Below are 11442 nucleotides of genomic sequence, written 5' to 3'. Positions count from 1 at the left end.
AAGTATGACTGAGGTTTTTTCTTTTTCAAAATTAAGAATAGATACTAAACCACAGATCCAAGAAACCCAGTAAACAACAAACCAGTTACACACACACACACACACCACGCATTGCTAAGTGCATATCATATTCCAAGTGCTAAAATCCAAAGAAATGGAACAATTTGAAGGTAGCCAGAGAATAAAAGATGCATTAACTGAAGAGTAACAAGAACGCAATTATCGGAGGCTTCTCATCAGAAACCATGCTAGCAAGAAAAAACACAATTATATCTTGAAAGTGATGCAAGAAAATTAAATCTACCCAGAATTCTATATCAAGCAAAAATATCCTTAAAAATTGCAGGAGAAATAAAGACTTCTTCAGACAAATAGGAATAAATTGCTGACAGAACTGCAATACAAAAAATATTTGTGGGGGTTCTTCAAGGTTAAAAATTAGAATAGAAATTTGGATCTTCACAAAGCAGTAAAAAACCCTGAAAAGAGATAAATAAATATAAAATAAAATGTATTTTATTCTTACATTTTCCAACTTTCTTAAGGTATAATAGCCAAGTAAAATTGTATGTAAGTATGGTGTACAATGTGATGTTTTGATAGATGAATACAATTGTGAAATGATTACCATAATCAAGGTAATTATCACATCCACTGCCTCACATAGTTATATTGTGTGTGTGTTTGTGTGTCATGAGACCACTCAAATCCAAACTTTTTGCAATTTTTAAGTATAATAAAAAACGACATTATAACTAATGTTTACCATGCTGTACAACAGATCCCTAGAAATTATTCCTCCTGGTTAATTCAAACCCTGTACCTTTTGGACAGCATTTCCCCATTTATCATCCTTTCACCCCTGGAAGTCACCATTCTATTCTCTGCTTCTAAGAATTCAAGTATTTGCATTCCATATGGTAGTGAGATTCTGCAGTATATGTCTTTCTATGCCTAGCGTATTTCACTTACCATAATGTCCTCCAGGTTCATGCAAGTTGCTGCAAATGACAAAGTTTCCCTTTTTAAAAGTAGACTAGTATTCCAATGAATATATACAATGCTCAATAACCCAAAAAAGGCCAAAAAAGGAGAAAATGGAAAGGAAGACAAGTGTAACCATTAGAAAATGGCAAAATCTTAGACTGTAATCCAACCATATCAATAATTACCCTAAATCTGAAGATCTAAACATATATGTTAAGTGACAGAGACTGTGTGATTAGATGTGAAAAAGGAGGATCAAAGTGTATGCTATCTACAAGAAATCCACTTTAAGTGCAAAGATATAATTAGATTAAAAAAGAACAGATGCATGAGTACTAGCTGACACGGGTTTTCTTTTTGAGATGATAAAAAGTTCTGAAATTACATAGTGATGATGGTTGCAAGTGTCTGTGAATATATGAAAACTCATTGAATTATACACTTTAAAGGATAAGTGCTACGTGTGAATTCGATCTCAGTAAAGCCACTATAAGGTAAAGTCATAGCCAAAAAAGTGAAAGAATAAAGACTGATACACCACTAAAACGTTAATACTCTTCAAAAAAGGTAAAGTGTTATATTAATTTTAGAAAAGTTGAAAATAGAATATTACATAAAGTGATAAATGATCCAAAAATATATCAGAATCCTAAATGTATGTACATATAAAAATAGAGCTTCAAAATACATGAAGCTAAAACCGATATATTTGGAAAGAGAAACAGATAAATCTATAATTATAGTAACAACTTAATAACACTCCTTTCTGCAATAAATATACAGAAAAATCAGTAAGGATATGGGTCACGTGAACAATATTTCCAACCAATAATGTCTAATAGACATTTATAGAACATTCTAAGGAGAGTAGAATGTACCTTCTTTTTAATGAAACATTCAAGAAGGCTGACCAAATTCTGGGTCATGAAAGAAACATTAACAACTTTAAAAGTACAGAGATTGTATAAAGTGAGTTCTAAAACAATAACAGATCTAAAATATAAATTGAGAACATAAAGCTATCTGGTAAATTCCCCCAGATATCTGGAAATTAAAAAATACACTTTTAAATAACCTAGGGATTAAAGAAGATTTTTGAGGTAAGCTAAAAATCTCCATTGTTCTTAGCTACATTTTTAACTCCAGAAATTTCTAAATATATGATCTAGATTGGGATCGGTAGAGTAATGACTGGCAGGTGCAGAAGTTAAGAATATGTGTTTTGGCTGTGAATAACGGTGTGTTGGAAGCTAGATGGATTCAGGTAATTTAAGTATCTAGTTTTGTTGCATTTTTAAAATATCCATGAACTGTGCATATTTGAATGTCTGCATGTGACAGTCACAAGAGGGAGAGTTTAAAGATAGTAAGGGAGTGGACAGTACAAATAAATAACAGTAGGTTTCAAAGAAGGCTGAAGAAAATGGCATTCAGAGATCAATAAAACGAGAGAAAGAAAAGGAGAGTCGATTCAAGCAGGGATGTAAATTTGTCATCAGTAAGTTGAAGAGATTCTTGTCTGACAGGAGCTGCTGTCCTTGCTGCACTGTTACCTTGGGTCATGCAATCCTGGCGAAGTCAGTCTCCATTTGCTTCCATTTTCTTCTCTGAAAATGGAGATACTTACAACAATCCTAAGAGTTTTTGTATCAAAACAAAACAATACAAGAAGATTGTTTTTAAGGTGACTAAAAATTAAAAACCTTAACACAGTGTTTGCGCATGATAGAAAATGAATGTGTACTATAGACGATAGATATATACCACCAGACTTGAAATGTTAGTGTTGGAGCCAACACCAAACTGTGTGTGTGCAGCCAACACCACCAGTGTCACTGCACGCACAGCTGCCAGCAGGCCCTCCACCCCAGCTGCATTGCCGCTGACACCATCGTGAACGACCTTAGGGCGGCAGGCCCTCTGGCACCCGCCAGCACCCCACTGCCGCTGACAAGTGTGCACCTCCCTGGAGCTGCTGCTACCGCTGCTCCTGGCACGTGCAAACATGGGCGGATCCCATCGTCACCGCACTGTGAAACGCTTTGGCTGACACCACCCTTTGGAGTGGAGTGACCAGCAGTCAGGGAGCACCTCAGCCACACCCAGCACAGTAGACTCCTAAACTGGAGGAGCCAGAGAACAAAGTCAGGGCCCAATACAAGTCCCCAGAGTTAGAGCCCACAGTCCAGGAATTGGGAGCTAAGAGCTGACCCCCAAAAATCTTCCAGGAATGAAATCATTCGGCTGAATCCATCTTATATCACAATCAAACCCTCAAGGTCTTCAAGTAGGAAACAAAAACAAGAATAAAAAACATCCAAAGGTCAGCAACCTCAAAGATTGAAGGAACATAAGCCCACAAAAATGAGAAAGAACCGGTGCAAGAACCTGATGACTCAAAAACTAGAGGGTCTTCTTTCCTCCAAATGACCACATCATCTCCCCTGCAAGGGTTCTGAACCAGGCTGAGATGGTTCAGATGACAGAAATAGGATTCAGAATATAGATAGAAATGAAGATCTTTGAGCTACTGGAGTACGTTGAAACCCAATCCAAGGAAATGTTAGTTTTTTACACTTTAAAGACAGCTTGCTACCATTTTATAGATAAAAGAATTTAAGTACAGAACAGATATGTGATTTGCCAAAATCACTCAGCTGCAGTGTGCAAAATCTAGGCCAAAGTGCATATATGCCAACTGCCTTTGCTTCTCTCTCTACTGCAGACTTCCTTCTGCAAGCTCCCCATACCTGTTTGCTCCCAGCTGTATAATAGAGTGTCTCATACACACTTTGTAAAAAATCAGACCTTTATTTAAAATGACTATTTTCCTGTTAGAAATATGGTAGATTTTAATTAATACAAGAAATGAAAGAGTTCTAGGCTGGTATAGTGATGGATGTAATACATGTGACTCATTCAGTGATCTAAGAGCCAGCACAATAATTGTCCATATTTTAATTATAATCATATTGAAAAGTCACTCTGGGGAAGGGATGAATCAAAAAAAAAAAAAAAGAAATTTTGAAGCAAGATGACATCAAAATCAAGTTCTAAATGCAACTCCCCAAGAATCCAAAGATCTGGTTCTTTCTTTACATTTTAGTTTCCAGTTTAAGATGCCTCACTTCCCCCTTGCTCCAGAATACCCATGCAACAGAGAACATATGGCACAGAATACGATATACTGTGGCTTCAGTGTTGATCGTATGAATCACACTGTCTCATTATAAACTATTAAGTGAATGGGTGCATCCCTGTGATAGGTAAGAGTTGTGTCCTTTGAAACCAAGATCCTAAAGTATTTTCTGTGCGAAAGCATTTTGGTAATTCCCAACCCCCCCAAATCAATCAGATGAGTAAAAACCAAAACAAAAATAAATACATGCCACAAACTGTAGAAACTGAAAATACTCTATTTTAACCTATCTTTGGCTCTCAGTTGGAATGGGACTACTGGTGGTATTTAGAAGAGAATGGCTCAGCAGTAAGCCACAGACACTGGCTCATGCATCTGTGTATGCTGCTTCTAGAATAGGCAGCAGGGAGCTAAGTGGAAAGGACGAGATACACCAGGAAATAATCAGGTGGGTCCAATACCCAGCCCCAGGCACACACCTGCCAGCAAGCGGAAATGTTCATACAATGTGCGAGGGAGGAAATCAAGAGGAATGGCTGAATTTTTCATGACTGCAGAATCTGCTGAGGAATTCTGTCTGACCTTTGCAATGTCTGATTCTCATCTCTAAAGCAAATTTTATTAACTGCCAAGCCAACCTCCAAAATTCTCTCACGGAAGAAAAGTTATATTGTGGACACGCTCAACCAACTAATTCATGATTCTGTCCATTCAGCAAAAGAAATTTTACTTAATTTTATCAGATTGCCAGGCTTTCTTAAGCCCCGATTTCTGTGTATATTTTAGGTCTACAAAATTCTTTAACTCAAAGGCAAGCCCTTATCAATAAATTAAGGTCAGAGGTTACTTCTTAATATTCCAGCTACTCTGTACAATAAGGTTAATATATTATATTCTTCATTTTTTTCTTTCTTTACTGGAAAAATAATGGCCCACAAGTTACCCTGAATTGCAAACCTCTTCATTGAACCATATGAAGCTGTTTCTGGAGATTTCATTGTAGAAATTAGAATATCAAGGTTGAGGGATACAAATTTCCAGGGAGGGCTCCCAACTATGAGGTGGATGTTCTCACAAATAACCCTTCAATATAATATAAAAGAAAAGAAAAAAATGTGACACATTTGTGCATAGGCTATGTTAGGCATGCAAATTATTTTAAGAGTCACCACTTGTAATTTGGCCATAAATTTTCAATAAACATTTACTTGTACCAATTTATTTCACTATACATTGTTTCTATCATCCTAAAATGTTTTTATTCTCATTTTCATGAAAGTATATGTATGTGTTTCTGTGTGTATATACACACACCTATATAAAGTATAAGATCTCATTGTAATACGATGATATTTTAAGGGAATATTACTAAGCCTGGGCAAATACATTCTGTTGTTTTGTTCAAAACAAACCTGGTATTTATCAGGTTACAATATTCCTTATCTATTTATTTATTTAATTGAGAAAAGTTAAATATCAAAAATTAAAGTATCATGTGTACAACATTATATACACACACATTGTGGAATGGCCAAATCAAGCTAAATAACATGTGTATTATCTTTGTGTGGTAACAACACTCAAAAGCTACTCTCTTAGCAATTTTCAAGTTCACAATAAAGTATTATTAACTACAGTCATCGTGGTATACAATGGATCTCTTGAATTTTTTCCTCCTGTCTAACTGAAATTTTTAATCTTTTGACCAACATCTTCACAATCATCTCCAACATTCTTTTTTAAATATTTGAAATTAGAATTAAGAGGTTTTGAGTATTACTTATTGCTTTTAAGTTAATTATTCCAAGGTCTATGTACCTCTTTTTCAGAGGATTTCTATTTAAAAAAAGGAAGTAATGTAAAATCTGTAGAACCTCTTTGTTAGATGGTATAATCTTCTATTCTGCTTGTATGTTTTTATTAGAAAACATTGGAAATTAAGGTTTCCTTGTGCCTCATTAAGTTAAGAGAGTTACAATTGGATGCCACCTTTGTGCCTGCCTCAAACTAAATAAGATTTGCAAATAGGTGTCCCCTGTAACTGATCAATGTGATTATTTGTATTAAATCACCCGCCACACACATCTTAAGAGCAGTCATCTGGTCCTCTTGATAAAGCTGAGCTATGTGTTCAGGGCCAGTCCCTGTGCCCGTCCCTTAAGTGGGTAAAGCTAGCCTGTGGTGTGTGTGTGTGGCTGAGGTCAGGAAGGGGGCTGCCTGGAGCAGAGGAATTAACATCTCAAAGTTACTGGTATTGCTGCTGCACAAACCATCACAATGAGCTTCTGTCCCTTAGTATCTTGAAATGTCCTCAAAGAAACTCTGGCCAATTCAGAAGATTCTTATCTTCCAGATCCTAAAATTGTAGACCCATAAGTCCATTTAAAGTTTCATTATGTGACTCATACCTGTAGTCCCAGCTTCTCAGGAGGCTGAAAAAGGAGGATGGCTTGAGCCCAGGAGGTGGAGGCTGCCATGAGCTATGATGGTGCCACTGCACTGCAGCCTGGGCAACACAGCAAGAACCTTTCTCTTTAAAAAATGTTATTGAGTAATTTAATTATTATACTATTGATTGACTAATAGATAACATTTTACTAGATATAGAGAGCATCTCTTGGGTGGCTTCACTGTAAATACAGATCTAGTTTTTATCATCTCATTTTCTAAATGTTCTTATGTTTATCTCACTGAGTAACACTCACTCATCCTAGATATGACCAGACACCATTATCATCTTTAAGCCTGAGGTATTAGAAAAATAAGCCACTGATACTGGAGATATTTAAAGAAATATGATTTGTTTAGAGATCATTATTTGAAATATAAAATTCCCTCTAAAACCTAAATATTTAAATGATTGGTAATCATATTTCTAGCTACGTTTATCCAGGTAAATTATACTCATTCATTATTACCACTTAGCACTTTTAAACCAAGTAGATTTATTTCATTTCTATCAACAATTATTATTCACGTGTGCAATTCATATGAAATTCATCTTAATGAAACTCACTAATTTAAGTAGAATGTTCTCAGGTCTTCAGTCAAGAACCTAACGATGGTTTCATTTCCCTCTTTTCAAAATAAAATCCGTGTGTAGTTAATGATATAATGACTATAATGCATGGAAGATGTCAGAAATTAATGTAATGCCTTGCAAGATGTGAATTTGCTTCTTGTAAAGAATGGGTGAAGTGTGCGGTGGGAAATGTAGCACTCACCCAGCTTTAATGCTACTCAACGCCCACGAAGCCTGGAGCTTCAGTGTTAAATCATGATTTTATTCTTTGCCTAAATCACTTTTTCCTTTTTCTTCAATATTTTTGTATTTTATTTTTTAATTAACTGAATCATAGGAAGTAACTGCAGTGCTGTAAGCCTAGGGTTGTAATTTCAAAACTAGTTGAGAAAATATAAATTACTCATTTTCCTTTTCACTGGTTATTGCTCTTTGGGAAAAAAAAAAGACAACAGTGGGGATATTAGGGATCTTCTAGTCCAATTTATTTTATGGATGAGCAAACTTAGGCAGAGAGAGATGAAGCAAATGCCCCAAATCAAACCAATACCTCGGAGCAGAGCAGTGTGGCCACCCAAGCCGCCCTCCCAGTGCTGCCCACACACCAGCCAACGTCCTTGGTGGTTCCCAGATTCAACAGGAGCTTCTTCCATGGAACTTTCATTTGAAAACAACACAGATGTGCAGGTCTTCTCTGTCTATGTACACACAAATTTAAGAATCACATTTCTCCATCAATAAAAGGCCTTTGCTTGTCTTTTCCTTTAAAACCTCCGAGTTAGGAAATTAAATAAAGGGGTAGAAGGTGGCTTTGCTGGGCTCCTGCCTCCCTGCTCTGGGCCCTGGGCCGTTCCCACAGATGCCTTCCCCTCACACTCTCTGGCATTGGACCAGGAGGGAGGATCACTCCCAAGAGCTTCAGGAGTGTCCCCGCCAGGAGTATTTGCAGTGAAGAAGGTGCAGTCTTCTGTTTAACGATCTCTCTCCGGTGAAGGAATGTGCGATAGTCTAGTCATGTTGATAGTTTTGGACCAACAGTCCTGCGTGTTACCGCCTCCATTATGCCACAAATATTTATTCATATACTTATTTATATCCCTTGTTCCCAAAGGATTTGTGGCCATTCCACACCCTATAGGAAGCTGGTGTTTTGACTATGTTTAAGGCAAGTCTTCTGCAGCTTTTAGCGTACATATTGTAAGGTTTTAGGCACTTTTAGTCTTTACCTAATACTAAGATCTATCAGACTGTCCCTAAGGCTAACTACAAAAAAATAGATAAATGAATAAATAAATAAAATGGCAACAAGTAAGAATAGTAGCTGATCATCAAAATAGCCATATTGTTTTAAGTGAAAATTTTTGCTTATACAAAAATAAATTGAAAAGCCATATACTCAAAGTCTAATAAGCTCCTTTATACTAATAGGTGAAAACATTTTATCTCTTAGTAAAATGTTAATGCAATGTAAATGATGTTTTTCTACCTTAAGTAAATGTACCCCTCTTGACTATAAATTAATAGAAATAGATATAATTATAAGAGTTTAAAATACTCCCTTTTTTTAAAAGTAACATCTAAATTATATAAATATTAAAATCTAGAAAGGAAACAATACATGATTGGGTCAGCATCTTACTACAAGCATCACAAATTCATTATTAATTTTCTATTATCAAGTAATTTATTTCTGTGTATTAAAACATACAGGGTCCCACATAAATTATTGTTAATTGCATTAGTGTCATTTGTAGTGCTATATATGTTTCACTGAGCTTTAATGAGAGCTATTTAAATATGTACTATAATAAACATATTACACATCGAGTTTTTTTCCCCTAAACCTGCAGTTATGAAAGAAAAATGTAATCAGAAATCAAGAGGAATAAAAGTGGTAGGATTTAATAGAATCCTGGGAATGACCATGGAGAATAAGTTGTTTGGAAATTGTCGTTCTTTACTTTCAGCCAGTGTCCTGTCATATAATAACTTATTGTTCTCATCAACTTCTGTAACAGTGCTCAAATGTTAATATGCATAACAAATGTCTCAGGAAATTTGCTAAAATGAAGTTTCCGATTCCATGGGTAGAGGATGGGATGCCTGATTTTGTATTTTTGACAATCTCTCAGCCAATCCCAGTGCCACTGGCTTGCAATCATAATTTGAGCAGCAAGGTGGTAGCACAGTGAGTCTCAAATGTGGTCCATCACCCACCTGCAACAGGTTCACAGGATTGCTTGTTTAAAAAACATACAGAATGCTAGGAATCACTCCAGATCCAGTGAACCTACATTTTGAGACTAGAGCCCAGTTTTTAGCAAATCCTCCATGTGAAAGTTTACAGACAGCGAAGTTTGAAAAGCCTTGCTCCACAGGAATTCCACAGTTCAAAGGTATATGTGCCTTTAACCCTAAAGACATCAGAGTCAAGGGCACCTTTTCACAAAATAATCAAATTGAGACAAGGCTGTCAAACAGAGAACTGGTGCAAACAATTACTGCCCCCAAGCAGTAATGCCTGATCATCAACTGCTTGAGAAGCTGTCACCTTGTCTCTTTATTTGGTGACATAGTCTTTAACTCCAAGAACACTAGCCCACCAATGTCATCTGCATTAGAATCACCTGGTGGGCTTTCTAAGCAAGATTTCTGGGCCCACCCCAGAGTTTCTGAGTCAGTAGGTCTGGGTTGGGGTCCAAGCATCTTCATTTCTGATTTCCCATGTGATGCAGATGCTGCTGGTTTGGAGAACACACTTTGTCCTAGACTATTGCATAAGTTGGATCACTCATAAAGTCCAGAATTTTGGTGTTCCATTGCAGTTATTTATTCATTCCAAGTATTATTTTAAATGAGCATATTTATTATCCACAAACTGCCCACATGACAAGACAGTGCACAGGCCTTAAGAATGAAACAAAATATTGGTCCCTGTTTTCTGGGATGTTATAATCCAAGTAAATCGATCAAACTAACTCATAAAACCACTCAATGATACTTCAAGGAAGCACACAGCAATGTGTTAAAAATGAAAGAGTTATACTCAGAGAACTCCAAAAATTCTAACCCAGCTTGGATTTGGGTTAGCTTAGATTGGGTTAGCTGGGATAGATTTAATGAAAAATATGGCAGCTAATGTGTTCCTGTTTGCCGTGATAGCAAATTGAAAGAGCATTAACTCAGTATTTGTAGATTCTTTGTTTTTTTCTATGAAAGCATTGTATCTTCTTCAAATAAGAAGTGCTTGGTACCTTCCTTTCTGATCCTTATATTTTACATTTATTTTATTTAAAAATAATTTCTTATTGTGTTTTCTCACATATGTAATATTTCATGTGGTTCTCAAACAGGCCTGCCACAGTGCATGATTGAGTGAATTCATTCACAACCTATTCACATGAGGTTCAAAGGAAACAGCTCACCTTGAAGCTGGGCTCTGGGCTTTCTATTCACTTTGAATCTGATACGAGCAATGTAACCCGAAGGGTAACACACTGGTCTTCATGTTTTTTTGTATCCTTCCAGAAATTTTATGCGTCTTCATTTAGAGATGGATATGTAAGAATATTTTCAACATTTTTTAAAATTAAGCTTTCAAATATTACATATTGTCTGTAACTTGTTTTATTCAACTAAAATATATAACTTAGATATTTTCCATGAATACTGTTTTTTTAGCCTTAAAAACTTCCCACTTTATAGATTGACCAATGTTTGTTTCATCAGCCTGTTCATAATGTATGTTTGTTTCATACATTAATAACAAATAGCATTTGTTATTAATGTATATTGAGGTTGTTTTCAACGATTTGCTATTATAAACAAGACCAGTGTAGGCAAACCCTCAAAAGAGACTCAGCCCAGGAGGGCTGTTGCCTTCACCCAGGAAAGAATTCAGGAATGAGCCAACAGTGAAAGAAAGCAAGTTTATTAGAGCTACAGGGTGCAGCAAAATGGCAGCTCCACAGCCAGAGCAGGACTTTCTCATAGACAGAGCAGCCTAGAGGGAAACTCATGAACTGCTGGCTAGCTTTATTTATGTCCACTCTTAACTATGTACTAACTGAGGGGTGAGGTATTCAGAATTTTCTAGAAGAGGAGTGAGAAATTCTGGGAACTATATAAGGTAACTACAGGTCATTGTCATGGCATTTGTAAACTGTCATGGTGCTGGTGGGAGTGTCCTTATGCTAATGAGCAGTGGGGGCAACTAGAGGTCGTTTTTGTCCCATCTGCTGGTTTCTTTTTCTTTTTTCTTTTCTTTCTTTTTTTTTTTTTTTTGAGACGGAGT

General features: G+C 36.3%; 1 annotated feature.

The window, feature by feature from the left end:
- Positions 2406-2907: an enhancer, noted in NCBI's record as "H3K4me1 hESC enhancer chr10:4599913-4600414 (GRCh37/hg19 assembly coordinates)". NCBI's record gives its function as "activates a minimal SCP1, AML or CMV promoter by ChIP-STARR-seq in naive H9 embryonic stem cells {active_cell/tissue: H9 hESC(naive)}" and the evidence as "EXISTENCE:reporter gene assay evidence [ECO:0000049][PMID:30033119]".

This window comes from Homo sapiens, chromosome 10 (genome assembly GCF_000001405.40).
Source record: "Homo sapiens chromosome 10, GRCh38.p14 Primary Assembly".
In the NCBI taxonomy this organism is placed as follows: Eukaryota; Metazoa; Chordata; class Mammalia; order Primates; family Hominidae; genus Homo; species Homo sapiens.
This window is presented reverse-complemented; position numbering and strand designations above follow the sequence as displayed.